The sequence below is a fragment of the Homo sapiens genome, chromosome 4 (genome assembly GCF_000001405.40).
Source record: "Homo sapiens chromosome 4, GRCh38.p14 Primary Assembly".
Classification (NCBI taxonomy): domain Eukaryota; kingdom Metazoa; phylum Chordata; class Mammalia; order Primates; family Hominidae; genus Homo; species Homo sapiens.
The window spans coordinates 1231074-1248779 of NC_000004.12; the positions used below are offsets into that span (position 1 = coordinate 1231074).

At 61.9% G+C, this 17706-nt stretch overlaps 1 protein-coding gene across 12 annotated transcripts in view, besides 3 other annotated features; it reads right to left on the reverse strand.

Annotated features, from left to right (window-relative positions):
• CTBP1 (C-terminal binding protein 1) overlaps nt 1-17706 on the reverse strand; it is a 38911-nt gene that overhangs the window by 19629 nt on the left and 1576 nt on the right. For 6 of the 12 annotated variants that reach the window (NM_001377192.1, NM_001377189.1, NM_001377193.1 and 3 more), the window contains exons 2-3: nt 10252-10446; nt 7110-7264 (exon numbers count right to left, since the gene is read on the reverse strand). In NM_001377192.1, coding sequence (NP_001364121.1) covers nt 7110-7264; nt 10252-10258 — 162 coding nt within the window. In that variant the 5' untranslated portion in view covers nt 10259-10446. The other 6 variants (NM_001377191.1, NM_001377188.1, NM_001328.3 and 3 more) reach the window with 4 other exon arrangements.
• Nucleotides 2854-3409: an enhancer, noted in NCBI's record as "H3K4me1 hESC enhancer chr4:1227715-1228270 (GRCh37/hg19 assembly coordinates)". NCBI's record gives its function as "activates a minimal SCP1, AML or CMV promoter by ChIP-STARR-seq in naive H9 embryonic stem cells {active_cell/tissue: H9 hESC(naive)}" and the evidence as "EXISTENCE:reporter gene assay evidence [ECO:0000049][PMID:30033119]".
• Nucleotides 8903-9403: an enhancer, noted in NCBI's record as "H3K4me1 hESC enhancer chr4:1233764-1234264 (GRCh37/hg19 assembly coordinates)". NCBI's record gives its function as "activates a minimal SCP1, AML or CMV promoter by ChIP-STARR-seq in primed H9 embryonic stem cells {active_cell/tissue: H9 hESC(primed)}" and the evidence as "EXISTENCE:reporter gene assay evidence [ECO:0000049][PMID:30033119]".
• Nucleotides 16946-17665: a silencer, noted in NCBI's record as "silent region_15124". NCBI's record gives its function as "represses an Ori minimal core promoter by ATAC-STARR-seq in GM12878 lymphoblastoid cells {active_cell/tissue: GM12878}" and the evidence as "EXISTENCE:reporter gene assay evidence [ECO:0000049][PMID:35858748]".

The window sequence follows — 17706 nt, forward strand, 5'->3', positions numbered from 1 at the left end:
TGGGGCACCCCATGCCCCGACCTCCACCACGTACCAGGTTGGCCTGTGCTCAGCTGCAGGGCCACAGCTGCTAGCATGTGCGCTTTACCACGTGGCGGCCACGTCATCCACAGGTCCACAGGCCAGGGTGCCACAGCGGCTCAGCCTCAGGGTCTACCTTCCTTTCCCCCTCGTGGCTGCCACGTGGCTGCTCCACCCCGCCTGTTGCATTGGTCTCCCACGGAGAAAGTCTGCAGGAGGTGGGTGCAGCCAGGTGTGTCCCTTTAGATCGGGGCCCAGCAGCCTCCCAGAAACCACCTCAAGCCAACACCCACTGATGTGTCCCCTCCACCGCCAGGGGCTCAGCCCCACTCTGCTCAGTGCCCTCAACTCCAGTGCTCAGAGCAGGCTGGGGAAAGCTGGGTGCCCAGGAAGCTCGGCTGCCACCGGGCTGGAAACAGACCCCAGGACGCTCCTGGTGGCAGCTGGCTCTTGGGGGTCAGGAAGGGGCCCGCCAAGCCCACCTCCTGCCATGCAGTTCTGCCACCTGCTTCTGTGCTCAGGACTCGACGTCGCACTTACCTTTCCAGACCTCGTGCACAGGGGTGGCTTACTCTGTGAAACTGCTGCTCACATCAGGTCACCATCAGGGCAGATGTTTCTCTACGACACGCAGCCACATGCAGGCCCAGGGTGGGGCTGGGCTGAAGACCGCAGGTTTCAGATTTCCAGAGAAACTGCCAAAGCACCATCGAGACCGGCACGGCCGTTTCTATCCCACATGAAGGGCCAGGCCCAGGCTCCCTCAGCACGGCTGGTGCAGGGCTCAGCGCAGGCCAGGCCAGGGGTTACCGGCGGTGCCTGCTGCACCTGTGAGAACCCAGGAGGCGCACCCCGGTTCTCATACACCGCTCTGTCTGTACCAAACGCCACCGCCCTCATCCATTTTCTGTCGGGATTTTTCTGTTTCTACTGATTGGGAGGAGTCTTTGAATATATAAACTTTTTCATTTACTTATTTTACAGACAGGACCTCGCTGGACTGCAGTGGTGTAATCATGACTCGCTGCAGCCTTGACCTCCTAGGCTGAAGCGATCCTCTGGCCTTGGCCTCTGGATACGCTGGGATGACAGGCACAGCCCCTGCACCAGCTCTGAGTGTTATCAGACATTCACCCTTAGGCTGGCACACAAATTGAAAATACCCAACCCCTACCTCTCCCGTTTTTATTTTTTAAATTTATTTTGCTATGTCATTCTTTCTTTTTTTCCTTTTTGAGACAGAGTCTTGCTCTGTTGCCCAGGCTGGAGTGCAGTGACACGATCTTGGCTCACTGCAACCTCTGCCTCTTAGGGTCAAGAGGTTCTCCTGCCTCAGCCTCCTGAGTATCTTGGACTACAGGCGCGCACCACCACGCGTGGCTAATTTCTATATTTTTAGTAGAGACGAGGTTTCACCATGTTGCCCAGGCTGGTCTTGAACTCCTGACCTCAAGTGATCCACCCGCCTCAGCCTCCTAAAGTGCTGGGATTATAAGCGTGAGCTGCTGCACCCCACCTTGCAATGCTGTTACTTCTAATTGCCATTTAATTAAAGTGACCTTTTCCTCTGTAGTATCACATTTTCCACAGAAAACATTGTATGTTCTGTATTGTCATAACCTCAGGTAATAAACACATTCTCTTGCAAGCGTTCCTCTAACTGCTCTTCATTCAAACACGTGGCCGCTTCAGTAGGCAGCGAGCATCTGTGGTGGGGGGAGCTGCTGCAGTTCCTGAACGGCCACCCCAGGGGCCCCAGAATTCACCGACTCCCCAGTCCTCGGCCCACACACCTGAAAAGCCACTGCCTGAGTCCTTGGGTCCTGCTGGGTGGGATTGTCTCTGATCCTCTGTCCTGTCTACTCTTGGTGGTACCAACACTGCCCAACTGGATCTTCTAGACCTGAGAGGGGGTCCTGGGGTCTGGACATGCCCTGCGGGGGTCGCACTGCACCCGAGGCTCAGCTGGGCACTGGGCAGTCTGCCTGGAAACAGGCCCCTGCATACGGTGATGGGGTCTCTGTCCTCTTGGTCCTAGAAGCGACTGTGACCCGGTATTAAGGTCAGAGCCCACGGCAGCCCGTCTCTGTGCCAGCCGCCAGCAAGAGACCGAGGGGCTCCAGGCCTGTCCTACACTCCATTACCATGACAACGCCAGCTTGTGTGTTTTTCCCAGTCACCATGACAACGCCTGCTTGTGTGTTTTTCCGGGATTTCTAATCACTTCGTTTCCTGCACAGCCCCAGCACCTCTGTCTGGCGGAGCTTTCTGGTGGCCTCCCCACCCCCAAGGCGTGGAGATGCTTGTCTTGCAGGAGTGCAACTGTCCAGCTGGCTGCAGGTCCTCGCAGGCCACTGCGTCCTGTGCCCTCCCGGAGCCGCCCTGCCGCTCCAGGCCCCGCAGCCCACACCGGACGCAGCCTCCAGGCTCCAGGGCTTCCTTTTTCTTGCTCAGCAGTTTGATCAGATGTGCAGTGCTGGGCTGAAAACCCTTCTCCTGTGGAAATTCCAAAGCAGGCGAGTGGGGCTGGGCTGAGTCTTGTGTCCCGGTGGGTGACATCCCCCACCCGTGGTATCAGTAAAATCCCAGTCCTGAACCTGAACACTGGGGCGCCTCCCAGGCCCCGACATTCTTCCCGCTCCTCCTGTGACCGCACTGACGGTATCACGTTCTCTCCCTCCACGGCACTCAGACGGCGGCGACCTCCAACCAGCTATGCGGGAAGTTTCTGCCCCAGGAGGCAGAATTCCTGACTAACAGTGGCACACAAAGCAGGTGTTCAGTTTCCTCCCACGCCAAAGCCTGGAGACAGGGAGCCTGCGGCCCCGCTGCCCTCTCCACAGCCACGAGGGTCCCTGCCTCCTGCCTTGTTGCTCCACGGTTCCCAGCACGTGGCTCCCCTCACAGTCCAAGGTGGCTACCCCGGGTTCCAGCCAGCAGGGACGAGGAGGGGACGGCAGGGAGAGGCCCTGCTCCCCTCTGTTCTGGAGCTCAATCCTTTGGCCACCCCTAGTGGCAAGAAAGCGTGGGCAGCCAAGTCCTCCCACAGGACCACACACTGCGAAACGCGGACTCGGCATCCAGGCAGCCCCTGCAGACTCCACACACAGCCCCGGGAGGTCACGGCTTCTCTTCACCTCTCTGGCTTCTGCAATGTCCCTGTGTCTTTGAGCTTCCTGTTTTTATGAGATTTTCACTCATGTTTTTAATTTCAAGCTCTCCTAGTTCTTGGGGGCTCCTTTCTGTGGCGCCGGCTCTGCTTCTGGTTAGGGGCTGCTTCAGGCCCCTCCAGGATGCCAGGACGGTTCCCAACACTCTCGTCTCTTCCAAGAATCCAGCTGCATCCCCTGGGGCAGTTTTCTGTGTATTTATGTTGTCCTTTCTCTGCCCTGGGCTGTGCAGCCTGGGTGGGGAGCAGGAAGTCTGTCTCATGCCAGGGCCCACGCCGGCCCCACCCCAACCACTGATCTGCATTTTATATGAACCTGTCAAGGCAGTTTGGGATTACTGCAATTTTAGAAAAACATCTGTTTTGCCTTAGCTTTCCAATTTGTTGGCAAAACTGTTTGAGTATTGTTTACGACACCAAAAGTTTTCTACGAGCCTCTTTTTTATTCTTACGTGTGCATCTTTAATACAAATCCAGCTTCCCAATGAGAAAACCGTACCTAACAAAGGGCACTGTCCAAACCGAGCTGGTGCCACACAACTCCCTCAGGTGTGCACCACGGGCAGTTCACCCACAGCCCCTTGCATGCGTGTGGACATGCCCACGTGACGTGCCAACGTGCCCATGTGCCGATTCCAGACACCGGCCTGCCGGCGGCCCCCCCACCTACACCCCGGGCCACTGTTTCCGTCACGCTAATCCTATCACCTGGGGATGAAGAGATCATACAGTGTGCACCCCTTGAAACCAGCTTCTTCACTCGCCATCATGCTGCCGAGATCACCCAGGGTGTGGCAGGGACCCAGCGTTCATGCCTGTTGCTGAGGAGGACACCGAGGGAGGTGGCCAGCATTTGCCTGGCCACTCACCCACTGAAGGACAGCCGGTGGGGGGCGTCCTTCTGGTTTGGGCTATGGTGAGTTAAGCTGCTAGGGAGCATGACGTGCAGGTCTGTGTGTGGACGCGCATTCCGAGTCTCCGGGATAAAGGAGTGTGGCCACTGGGCTGCATTACAAGCACGCATCTACCCGTGTGAGAAACCATGAAGAATCTTCCAGAGCGAACGCCCCAGCAGACGCTCCCGGCAGACCACGCGCATTTTTAACATCAGATTTTCTTCCGTCCATTTTGGAAAGGGTTTTGCTGTCATCATCACTTCCAACCCCTTCCCTCTCCTGTTCTGAAGTTTCTGCAAGAGCGACCCTTCCTCATCTCGCCCTCTCCCGCGTTCTCTCCTTCCCTCCTGTCCGCTGCCGCCTGGTCAGCTGGTAAACCCGCCCCTCAGTTCCACCGATCAGCTTCGCCGTTTTCTCAGATCCGCATCTCATTTTCTCCCCTAACGCTGCTACGCCCCGTTCCAGAGTCATCAGCTCTTCGTCGGTGTCTGGCCCAGCCTCCTGGGGGCTGGGCTGGGGTGATCGGCTCGTGGGCAGCACGGGGAGCTCCTGCGGGTGGCACTGCTTCCCTGGCTTCTGCGTTTTGCGCATCTCCTTGACTGCCTGGTTACCTCTGTTTGCATGTGATGGACCCCGCACCAGATGGTGATTTGTAGAAATGACCCGAGGCCTCGGCTGACGCTGTCTTCCTCTAAAGGGGCCGTCTTACTTCTTTTGCCAGGCACCTGGGGCCGGCAGTGCGGGGTCCCCAAAAATCCAGATTCAAGGTTTCCTGGACATCAGCAGGCTGGGTGCCGATCGTGTGGCGCGTCAGAGTCCAGGTCACCCTCACTCCAGATGTCACCTTTCAGGCCATGGATATCCCGGCAGGGCCCCACACCCAGCAGGCCAGTGATGCCACCAAAGCCAAATTCAGCCTCTCAGCTACTTCTTCCAGAACAGCCAACACCCCAGGCCAGAGTTGGCAAGGCCCGCCCGTTCCTGCAGGTTATAGGCCTCTCCAGGCTGCAGCCTGGGCCTGGCCCTATCCTGTGAGCTCCTGGGGGCCCAGCTTCTTCGTCTGTCTTCAGGGAAAAGCTGCTCTGAATCACTGATCCCTGGCTACAAGTAGAAGCCAGACCAACCTAGTTCTCATCACGGAGGAGCCTGTGGGTCTCCTGAGCAAACAAGAATCAGGAAAGCTGCCCAAAGGCTGCTCACTGCTGGACCAAAGCCAGGCCGCGGGCAATGCCGAGACCGCCCGTGTGAAGACCGCCGCGCAACTGGGGCCGGGGGAAGCACCTTACTCCACCCCCGCCACAAAAGCTGGCATCCCGAGGACCTGCTCTCTGGGAAAAAACTGAAAATGAATCAAGAAGCCACAGGGCAAACCCGGTGTCCACCTCCTGATGGGGCTCAGGACAAACCGAGTGTCCACCTCCTGATGGGGCTCAGGACAAACCCCGTGTCCACCTCCTGATGGGGCTCAGGGCAAACCCGGTGTCCACCTCCTGATGGGGCTCAGGGCAAACCCGGTGTCCACCTCCTGATGGGGCACAGGGCAAACCAAGTGTCCACCTCCTGATGGGGCACAGGGCAAACCAAGTGTCCACCTCCTGATGGGGCTCAGGACAAACCCGGTGTCCACCTCCTGATGGGGCTCAGGGCAAACCGAATGTCCACCTCCTGATGGGGCTCAGGACAAACCCGGTGTCCACCTCCTGATGGGGCTCAGGGCAAACCGAATGTCCACCTCCTGATGGGGCTCAGGGCAAACCCGGTGTCCACCTCCTGATGGGGCTCAGGGCAAACCCCGTGTCCACCTCCTGATGGGGCTCAGGAGAAACCGAGCGTCCATCTCCTGATGGGGCACAGGGCAAACCCAGTGTCCACCTCCTGATGGCGCTCAGGACAAACCGAGTGTGGGGCTCAGGGAAAACCCCGTGTCCACCTCCTGATGAGGCTCAGGAGAAACCGAGTGTCCACCTCCTGATGGGGCACAGGGCAAACCGAGTGTCCACCTCCTGATGGGGCTCAGGATAAACCGAGTGTCCACCTCCTGATGGGGCACAGGGCAAACCGAGTGTCCACCTCCTGATGGGGCTCAGGACAAACCGAGTGTCCACCTCCTCATGGGGCTCAGGGAAAACCCGGTGTCCACCTCCTGATGGGGCTCAGGACAAACCGAGTGTCCACCTCCTGATGGGGCTCAGGGAAAACCCCATGTCCACCTCCTGATGGGGCTCAGGGAAAACCCCGTGTCCACCTCCTGATGGGGCTCAGGACAAACCCCGTGTCCACCTCCTGATGGAGCTCAGTGAAAACCCGGTGTTCACCTCCTGATGGTGTGCAGGGAAAACCCCGTGTCCACCTCCTGATGGGGCTTAGGACAAACCCCGTGTCCACCTCCTGATGGGGCTCAGGACAAACCCTGTGTCCACCTCCTGATGGGGCTCAGGGAAAACCCGGTGTTCACCTCCTGATGGGGCTCAGGACAAACCCCGTGTCCACCTCCTGATGGGGCTCAGGACAAACCCCGTGTCCACCTCCTGATGGGGCTCAGGACAAACCCCGTGTCCACCTCCTGATGGGGCTCAGGGAAAACCCCGTGTCCACCTCCTGATGGGGCTCAGGACAAACCCCGTGTCCACCTCCTGATGGGGCACAGGGCAAAACGAGTGTCCACCTCCTGATGGGGCTCAGGGAAAACCCCGTGTCCACCTCCTGATGGGGCACAGGGCAAACCGAATGTCCACCTCCTGATGGGGCTCAGGACAAACGTGGTGTCCACCTCCTGATGGGGCACAGGGAAAACCCCGTGTCCACCTCCTGATGGGGCTCAGGGCAAACCCGATGTCCACCTCCTGATGGTGTCCAGGGAAAACCCCGTGTCCACCTCCTGACGGCGCGGGACGACTGGGACAGAGGCTGCTCCTGCCCCAGTGGCACCCAGACCTGCTGTGGCCCGGGCCTGCCGTGCTCCCGTCCCTCCAACTCCCCCCAACGTGCGGTTCTGCCAGCCCCAGGCGACCACGTGGTGGTACCTTCTCATGGATCTCCTGCGTGGACTGCGCGTCGCAGAAGGCCACAGTGGCCACGTCCTTCAGGATGGGCATCTCCACTGTGCAGTCCCGGCCATCCAGCAATGCCACCAGGGGCCGCGGGTGCAGGGGCCCGTTCATGATCGGAGGTCGGACGCCTGCAAGACAGAGGCAAGTGCTCAGCCTTGCACCACTGCGGCCCCGTGGCTACAACCCACTCCACGCCACCCACTGTGCACGGGCCAACGAGGGCCGACCGCCGGGGGTTTTCTGGTCTATATGTTGTGATATTTGTAAAAAGTAAATTAAAAATCCACGTGAAAGACAACTCGTGTGTGCCTCAGCTCGCTGACTCAAGTGGACACAGACTGTGGACACCCACTACCATCTCCCTTGGGCACAGGACCTCCGAGACCCTCCAAGTCCCCTCCGAGACCCTCCAAGGCCCCTCCGAGATCCTCCCAGACCCTCTGAGACCCTCTCACACCCTCCAAGACCCTCCGAGACCCCCCAAGAAATCTCCAGACCCTCTGAGAACCTCCCAGACCCTCTGAGACTCCCCAAGACATTTCCAGACCCACCGAGACACCTCCCGACCCTCCTAGGCCCTCCAAGACCCTCTGAGACCCCCCGAGACCCTCCCAGACCGTCCGAGACCCCAGGGCAGCTCCATGAGGCAGGGGGACAGGAGGGACCCAGGACACTGGAGGACACAAGATGACAGCACGGGACTTTGGGAACATGGTTGTCCCTTTCCTGCCTGGGCTACCGCGTGGCTGCCCGGAATCCCTGATGGGGTCACCAGTGTTTCACGTAGGACGCCCCCAACCCTCTGCCTGGCATTACTTCCAATTATAGATGTGAAGAGAAAAGAAACAGAACAAAGGAAGAAAAGGGTTAAAACCTGTTAAAGTCCACTCTGTGCCCCTGACCTTCCCAGAACCAGATGATTAAAGCTCATTAACACCCATTCCTTTCGCGTATGACGCAACTAAGCCTCATCGGGGCCAACTGGAGAAATAAGGGCTCTGAGGCGTCACAGAAGCATGGCAGCTTCCAGGCACCGCCCGACCGCCCCGTGCCAGGCAGGGAGCACCAGGTGGGGCCACTGTCAGCCCCACGGCAGCTGGGCAGAGGCGGAGCTGGGGCCAGGGCCCAGCCGGTCCCTCCCCTCCTCCTCCAAAGACCGGCCACAGGAGACCAAGCAGTACCCAGGACCGTTCGGCCAGCAGGAGGGGAGGCGCACGACAGAACCAAGGAGCAGAGTGACCCAGCAGGCTCTCCAGTGGCCGCGGCCACAAGCACGCTCGGCCCAGTCTCCCGCCCCATCCGCTGCCCCATCCGCCTGCAGGTGAGCAGAGGCCACCGAGCTGCCAGTATCCAGGAAGCAGGGAAGTGCCTCCTGGAACCCATGGCAGAGAAAAGAAATGCTCTGGTGGACAGCCCAGGGGTGCAGTGGGCCTGCAGCACACGCCTGCAGGGGACGGGGCATGGGTCTCCACTGACCACCCCAAAGCCGAGGGCTCCCAGTACGGCTGGGCCCATGCCCCTCCCGTGAGGTCCTCGCGCCCTGGCGTCCTCGGAGGAGCCACTGGCCATTCCACCCACTTTCCTTCAAGATAGGAAACCAGATCCCAAACGTGAGGTCTGCACGGTCAAAACCGCGTCCTGGTTCGCCTGTTCCTTCATTCCCTCTGGACGGGAGCTGCCCACGAGCACCATAGACAGGCCGCCCAGTGACACTGTACATGGCCTCCCTCTGCACGTGGCCTCCCTCCCCGCTGTGTGTGGTGGTGATGACTTCTCATGAGCAGAAAGGTTTATGTTGCTGTTTCTGAGTGAGTGGATAGACATCCGCTCTCAGTATCCTTGGATTTCACTTCTGATGAGGAAGGCATGGACACACGGGATCACTGCAGACCGCTCGGCTGCGTCAGAACCGCCTGGGGGGACTCCTGGGTGCTGGGTGAGTGGGAACCGGGTCCCTCGTCAGAACCGCGTGGGGGACTCCCGGGTGCTGGGTGAGTGGGAACCGGGTCCCTCGTCGGAACCGTGTGGGGCACTCCCGGGTGCTGGGTGAGTGGGACCGGGTCCCTCGTCGGAACCGCCTGGGGGGACTCCCGGGTGCTGGGTGAGTGGGAACCGGGTCCCTCGTCGGAACCGCGTGGGGGACTCCCGGGTGCTGGGTGAGTGGGAACCGGGTCCCTCGTCGGAACCGCGTGGGGGACTCCCGGGTGCTGGGTGAGTGGGAACCGGGTCCCTCGTCGGAACCGCGTGGGGGACTCCCGGGTGCTGGGTGAGTGGGAACCGGGTCCCTCGTCGGAACCGCGTGGGGGACTCCCGGGTGCTGGGTGAGTGGGAACCGGGTCCCTCGTCGGAACCGCGTGGGGGACTCCCGGGTGCTGGGTGAGTGGGAACCGGGTCCCTCGTCGGAACCGCGTGGGGGACTCCCGGGTGCTGGGTGAGTGGGAACCGGGTCCCTCAGCTGAACGGTGGGGAGGGGGGAGCAGGTGGAGACACCAAGCCCCATCAGGCTCAGGCACCCAAGGTGCCTCCTCACATCACCCATGAGCTGCCCCTGACCACCGTGCCAGGGTTCCCCGGACAGCCCACCCTTGCAGGCTTGGGGACACACCCAGGAGGCTTCACAGTCACACGGCCTGTGCTGAAGCAGGCTTTGCAGCATCCCCCAAGCCCAAGGCTGTTTCCGACTGCACGCACTTCCGGGCCAGAGAGCGCAGACCAACCACAAGGAACAGCTCCACAGGGGCCACGGCCCTGCTCCTGGGCCAGCCGGGTGGACACCTGAGATTTCCAGGGTTCCGTGTGGGGCTCCACCCTCGTGCTGGCGGCCTCCACATGGAGGCCCTCCGTGCCTCTCAGACACTTTCCGACAGAAACAGACAGCAGATGCCACGGACAGGCCTGACCACAGCTGTGCTCTGCCACCAGGTGTGCAGGAAGCCCTCCCTCGAGGGGCACCTGACCTCGCCCAGAGCACACCGGGGGTCAGGTGGCAGCAGTCCGGCCCGACGCCCATGCAGCCCAGGTCCCTCGACTTGATCCGAGGCAGTGCCTCCTCCACACGGTCGCAAAGAGACCGGCCGGCTTCACTCTGCCGCCGACGCCAGGAACCCCTACCAACCTGACATCTCTTAATATGGGCTCAGCTTCCACGACCATGAATTCGACTTTTCAAAGCTTTTTATCTTCAGGATCCCCAGGCAGAACCGCGTCCTGTCTCGGAGCCTCATCCCACGTCCTTAATTGTCTCGAGCCAAAGTGCTCAGGCTTCTGATCCGCGGCAATCACTGAAGCCTGCGTCGGGGTCAAAGTCTTACTAAAAATCAAACACAAGAGACACATTAAAATGCCATCGAAGGTCCGACCAGAACTCACAGACTCCAGGGAACGCCTCAGAAGTGGACCTCACTGCATCTGCCACACCCGGGACTGCTGTCTGGGACCTACCTGGACTCGGGGGCCTGCTGACAGCCAGGGGCCCCGGCTCCTGCCGCACACACGAAGGGCGCTCACCCTGAGGTTGCAGTGCCAGGCCCGAGGCCGCGCCCCTGTGGCCCCGAGGCCTACTCCTGGGAACAGTCCCCCAGGGCTGCGGCCACCCCCACAGGCTCTAGCCGCATCCAGATGTCCCCAGTGTCCAAGAACCAGGGGACGGAGGGCACAGGGTGTGTGCTGTGGGCAGGGAAACTGCGGAAAGGCTCTGCCTCCTGTTCTGGAAGCTTCTATCTCATGTCACTGATTCCCGGGCCTCTGTGACCAGGCAAGGACGTGGAACTTCCCAGGAGCCACCGGGAGAGGTGCTGCTGGCTTTCCAGCATCCAGCCTGGCACTGCCTGCACTGAGCCGCGCCGGCTCCACCTCCGACCCTCAGTGCATCCTGGCGACGCTCCCTCAATTCTCCCAAAAAAACTGCTCAGCTCTTCCTGACCGCTACGGCCAGGGCCTGGCGGGAAGCTGAGGGCACGAACCCCAGTGGCTGAATGCACAGGGGCAGGGGGCCCCTGAGAGGGCCAAGCCTTCCAGTAGAGGCTTGAGAGTGCACACGATCGCCCAGCCCTCGGGAGGGTGTCACTGAGCTGCCCACACCTGGCCCCTGCTCTGGCATGAAGACACAGCACCGAGGCTGACCCCAACGTGCAGCTGACATCAGGCTGACCAGGACAGGAGCCGGCCACCACCAGCCCAGCAGCATGGCAGGCGTGGGCTGAGACGACTGCCTGCCAGGCCAGAAGGGGCCACTCAGCCAAGCCTAAGACCCTGGTAGTGTGCTGTGAGGCCGCCCCTGCGCAGAGGCCTCGCAGACAAATCTCCAACCCTCAACTCCCTCTGCAGGATTCAAGCATACATGCCGACCATCTCCAGCTTCCAGAGACACCATCACAGGGGCTGGGGTGCAGCCCCACGCACGCACCTCCCATCCAGGGTCCCCAACACCACTCCTCATGGCAGGTGCTGTGTGGGACTCCCTGACGGAGGGCCCAAGAGCAACACTGTGGAGCGGGATCCCCATCACCTGCGCCTGAGCCCCCATGACCTGCGCTGCAGCCTCCTGCCCTGAATGCCAGATCTCCCCATGGTACCCGGATACCACATAAAAACAAACTAAAAGGACAGGAGAAAACCGCCTAAATGTCACATTTCACCCACGAGCCAGCCTGGCCAGGGGGCAAGGCACCGCGCCACCCACGCCCAGCCAAACTCATCAATGCCAGCCGATACTCATCAACGCCAGCCGATACTCATCAATGCCAGCCGATACTCATCAACGCCAACCGATACTCATCAATGCCAGCCAATACTCATCAATACTGGCCAAACTCATTGATACGGGCCAATACTCATTGATACCGGCTGATACTCATTGATACCAGTCAATACTCATCAATGCTACCCACGGTGGCCCAGTACCGGCTGCTGCTCGTCAAGACCGGCCAATACTCAATACTGCCCACAGCAGCATGGCACCAGCCGCTGCTCCTGGAGGATCATCGATACCCATCAATGCTGCTCAATGCTTATCTATACTGGCCAGTACGTGCCCACACCTGTGTCTCTGAGGAAGAAGCAGATGTGTGAAGGCCACCCTGGCCCTCCTGAAAGGACCCTGCAGTGAGGAGGCCGTGAGCTCCCGAGCTGAGGAACCTGTGGCAGGGCTCCTGGGGCCCTGCACTCCCTGGGCTAGCCCTGCCAGACCTGAGGGGCTGCACCCCATGCCACAGGGACTTCCTGTGGTTCCTTGTTCCAAGGCTGCTCCAGTTCAGGACAGACACCTGAGGCCCAGCACCTGGTTCTCCTCCAGGGACCTCTGTCTCAGAAACAGCCCTGGGGTAGGTCTGCCCACCATCTGCACCACCCTGGGGCCACTGTGCACCCACAAAGCGCCCCCTGCCGGGCCACACCTGCCCCACTGAGAGCCAGTGTCCGAGTCCTGGAGCCCTCACCTAGGGCAATGCCAGAGGCCCTGCGCACCTCACGCCAGGGAGCTGGCCTCCTACGGCCTTCCTGGCTGGCCGGTCAGGGTCAAGGGCTCCAGCTCTGTACCTTGCCCACACACTCCGAGGTGAAGGCACACGGCTCCCAGAGGGGCCTGTGCTGTCCAAATCCAGGACCCACACTGCTTTTCCTCATCAAAAACTCACAGCCGCACACGGCTCTCAGCCCAGCGACACGAGGACAGTCTCCAGCTTCTCACCCTGCAGACGCTTAACCTCATGTTGTAAGAAAGCACTCAAGGGACCCACGAGGGAAGTGAGTGTAGAGCACATGGAAGCTTGTGCTTCCTATTTTCCTGTAAATCTAAGACTGCTCTAAAACAAAAACTGATTTTAAAGTAAATGGGGGTGAGGTGAGGGGCAGCAGCCCCCAGGTTCTCTGGAGGCATCAAGTCCCGGGGGGCTGCACGGTGGCGGCCCGATGACCCCAGAGCCTCCTGGCCACATGTCAACGCCCTGTCTCTGGATGCACATCACCATCTGCTTGCCGGATCCTCCCTCCTGTTGGCCACGCCTGCCCACTCCGCCCCGATCCACGTGTGTGCTGGGCATCGGTCCATTCTGGTCTGGAGAGGGACCGGGTTGCCCCGGCACACTGGGGGTCACCATGGGCTGGGACCTGCCCCGATCCAGACAGCCACAGTGGGTCTCTGGGCACTGGGGGGGGGGTGTTCCAGGAAGTCCCAGGGGGCACCAAGATGCGCCAGGACCAAGCAGCTACCCCTGTTCCTTCCCCAGCCTCAGCACCTGGTCCTCATCCCCGCCTGCTCAGACCCAGGCTCGGCAGCTACCAACCCTCCACGTCCCTCCACTGGCCAGCCCTGCTGGGCCAACCGGTCCGCTCCCCTCCCTCACGACCTCCACCAGGACAGTGTCCCAAAAGCTCCTCCTCACCAACCCCATCTTCTTCCCCCTCCCCACAGCAGCCCCTAAAGCCGCTGCCCAGGAAGGGCTCCCCGACCACCAGAAGGGCACCCTAAGGCTGGGTGGTCTCAGCGGCCCTCACCCTGCCCTGTCCCCATAAGCCCTGATTACTCCGGGCTCGAGTGGCCCTCTCGTGACAAAGCTGCCCTGCCGTGAGTCCCCGGCAGCCATCTGGGCATTGGTGAGATGCCCCCTCTGGCTGTCCAGGCCTGGAGGCCCAAAGACTAGGGCCTGGCGGTGCTGCCCAGCCAGGGGCTGACATGAACGAAGGCTGTGCACAGCCTGACCCGGAGCCTTCCAGTCCTGAGATACAGCCACCTGCCGCCCAGAGAAAACTGAGGCCCTGCCCTGCAATGGCAGAGAAGGCAGGCCCCCAAGAGGGAGCCGCACAGCAGCATGGAGCCACTGGGCTGAGAGCACGGGGCCAAGAGAACCTCCCCCAGACAGACAAGGCCCGTCACCCACAGGTTGAAACAGCTCCTCCGACGACAGCACCCCAGACAGACACTGCCCAAGTCATCCACGAGCCGATACGGCACCTTGGACGGCAGCATCCCTGTGAGCCAGGGAGCCACCGCACTCCACGGGGCCTGCAGGGCCGCATCACAGCTCAGAGGACACAGCGCAGGGGCTGTGATCAAAGGCATGGATTTGCCAGCAAGATTCCTCTCCAGGACATCCGTGGAGCCGCACGTTTCCCTGTTTGTTCAGCGAGCACATGCACACAACCTGTGAGCTCCAGGAACCCCCAGAACGCCACCTTCCTGGCTCCTACCACATGTGGGGTATCAGGGCTACACCTTCCTCCCCTTCCCAACACAGTCTACACACGACACCACTGGAGAGACAGCCTCGGATGCCTCTGAGGCTCCTGCCAGCCACGCAGACAGGGCAGCCCAGGAGCCCCCACACCACAGACGGGCGGCAGGTCAGGGTGGCACAGGAGGGCACGGTGACACGGGCGGCAGGGAAGAGTGGCACGGGAGGGCAGGGTGACACGGGCGGCATAGCAGAGTGGCATGGACGGGCAGGGTGACACGGGCGGCAGGGCAGGGTGGCACGGGTGGGCAGGGTGGCACGGGCGGGCAGGATGGCACAAGCAGGTCAGGGTGGCACGTGTGGGTAGGGTAGCACGGGTAGGCAGGGTGGCTTGGGCCACACCAGGCCTGGAGAGTTAACGGCGGTGCCAGGGGAGGGTGCAGAAGGGGCCTGGTCCCAACACCGCCCACACCTCTCTCAGGGCCATAGCCCCAACGCCTCCCCAACCAAACCAACTGGGCTTCCCTCAGGGCCATCCTCACTCTCCTTCAACACCCGTGAGAACTGGTACCACCTGGGGCCGCCCAGAGAGACAACTCAAGGTTAACGTTTGGCTCGGCAAAGAGCCACCAAGAAATTTCTGGCTTCACAGGGAAAAAAACGAACATTTCCTTGTGGGAGATACCACATGGAATGTGTGGCCGGAGGGGCTTCTGGAAACGATGGTCAGTGACGCAGGTGGCACCTTGTGGGTTACCACGACCCAGTGCGGGGGAGAGCAGTGGGCTCCGGCCACTGCAGCTGACAATGGAGGACCCGGGGGTCCAGACACTCCCGGCACAGAGCTCTTACCCACAACTACCAACATCCAGCGACCACCAGAGGACCCTGGCGCTCCACCCGGCGCTCCGACCAGCGTTCCCTTGGGCGATGCAGTTCAACCACAGAACCCGTATGACACTGCCTGCTGCCTCTACCACCTCCTGGCCACCCCTGGGCCCTGGGCCAGGCCTGCACCGTCAGCACCACCTGGATGGAGCCCTCTCCAGCCCCCAGTGGAGTGGGAAACATTAAGTCCTTCTACAAGGAGAGTCAACCGGGGTAAACACCTCACAGGGCACACACCTTTGACTTGGGCACTGCATGGGGAGCACCAGGGCACAGCCGGGCACAAAGTGCTGCCTGAAGAGTTCTCAGCAACACTAGTGGTGCCAGCCACACGCCTCTTGGCTCAGTGACACCACCGTCAGCTCAGACCAGGTCACATTCTGGGGGTACTGGCCGCAGGAAGTTGAGAGGGCAAGTGACAGTCAGAGGAGAAAAACCAGAAAAACTGCCAGGCTGGTGGGGAACCAGGTGTGGCTTGACGGCCACCTCTAAGCCCCGAGGGAAGAGACTGGGCCTCTCGAGCCTGGGGCCCGTTTCCTGGAGAGCATGACTACTTCTGTCCAGGGTTCCTCCAGAAAAAATTTATTAACAGAATGATGGTTAACAGTTGCTGTCTGCTTACACTACAAATGTCCAAAGAGTGGGGGGCTCCCAGCCCTTGGGGGAGGCAGACAGGACGAGCCAGCACTTCCAATCCCACCAGGACATGGCAGGGGGCCGGCTCTGCGCCAAGCCCACAGGACTGGACCAAGGCTCGTCCCACTCATCAGAGGGACAGGACCAGCCCACAGTCCTGTGCACCCCGGGCCAAGCCTCTCCTCCCCCACTGCCACGTTCTCAGGTTAATGACAAGCGAGTAAAAGGGAAGATCCTACTCGCTGACATCCCCAACCACACGCCCACCTCTCAGAACTAACAGCTGCCCTGGTCAAGGCTGACAGGAAGAAGTGCATGTTGGGGACATGGCAGACACCCCAAAAATGGCCGGGCAGGCGGACGAGGCACCCCCAGGAGTGACCAGATGCCACCCCCAGTGCGTGTCCCTCCCAGAGCTCTGCAGAGGACGCCTGTATGGAAGCAGGTGCTCAAAGATGGGCAACAGAATCACAGAGAGCAAAAGGCGTCTGCGGAGCCGACAGCCCCAACCAGGAGCCAAACCCAGACCCCAGAGGGAGGTGGCCAGGCCCGGGCAGGCAGGGGAGACCTGGGAGGCCGGGTGCTGAGGCCCAGGGCAGAGCCACGCCCTACAAAGTTCCAGGACACAGAAAGGGGGACCCCCAAACCGCAGCTGTCATCCTCAGCTGCAACGGCAAATAGTTACCCCACGGTTCTCCCCCAACCCTGCCCCAAGCTGCAGACGGGTACACAGACGCGCAAAGGCCACGCGCTAGGAGCTCAGCGAGGACGGCCGCGGTGCGGGCCCAGCCGCCAGCGCCGTTTTCTTCCCGAGGGACGTGTGCTCCCTGCCGCGCTCCTACAGAAACGGTGGAGAGGCCGGGGAGGGGGGGGGGGCTCGGGCTCAACGGAACACCCTGCGCACCCGCCGCCTCGGCCCTAGCTCCAGGCCCTCTTGCCCCAACTCTCAGGGTTTCACCTCCCCACTCAGGGCACCGGGAAGGGCGCGACCGCCTTCCCTTTTCCCCACTGGAAGGGAATTCTGTCCCGGCAATCACGGAGACGACAGCAAAAGGGATCTGGCCCAGGCCGGGCTTCCAGACACCGGCGCCCTTGGAGGCCGCCAGAGAACGCTCCAGTCTCGGCCCGGGGCTCAGGCGCACGGACTCTGCCTTTGCAGCCGGGTCGAGGGAAAGAGAGGCTCCGCGCAGCGGCTCGGGCCGGCCCAGGACGCGGGCGCTGCAAGATGGCGATGGTGGCAAGCCCGGCGCCCGCCCGTGCTCCCTGCTTCCGCGGCCGCAGCCCGCGAGGAAGGCGCCCCGGGACCTGGGCGGGCCCAGGCAAGGGCAGGTGGGGGCGCTGGGCCGGTCCGGGACCTCGCGGAGTTCGCGGGAACGGAGACCCCGGGCCCTCCCGCGTCACCGCCGGGGGCTGCGCTTTGGGCCCGGTCTGAGGGCAGCGGCCTCCTCCACGGTCATACCCGGCACCCGCGCCCCGTCCCCTTCCCCCACAGCGCGCGGCCACGGTCGCCGGCGGCCTCCCCGCGGGAGGCGCGCTCCCGCGAGTGGCCCGGGAGCGCGCGCCCCAGGACACCCCGAGCTGCGCACGGCTCCCGCCCCATCCCGGCCCCGCAGGCCCAGCCACGGGGTCATGACCGGGGACGGGGTAGCGGCCGGGGATCGGGACCCGGGGTGCCGTCCCGGGTCCGACGGGGCTGGGGTCGGTGGAGCTGGGGGTCCGGCGGGGCAGCCCAGAGGCCCACAGGCCCTTTTGTGTCACCTGCACGGGCCGCGGGCGGGGAGAGCAGACTGCGGCGCTCGCGCACACGCAGCGGCCCGCGCATGCGCAAGACCCTTCCCGCGGTCCCGCCCCCGACCGCGGCCACGCGCGGACGCCGG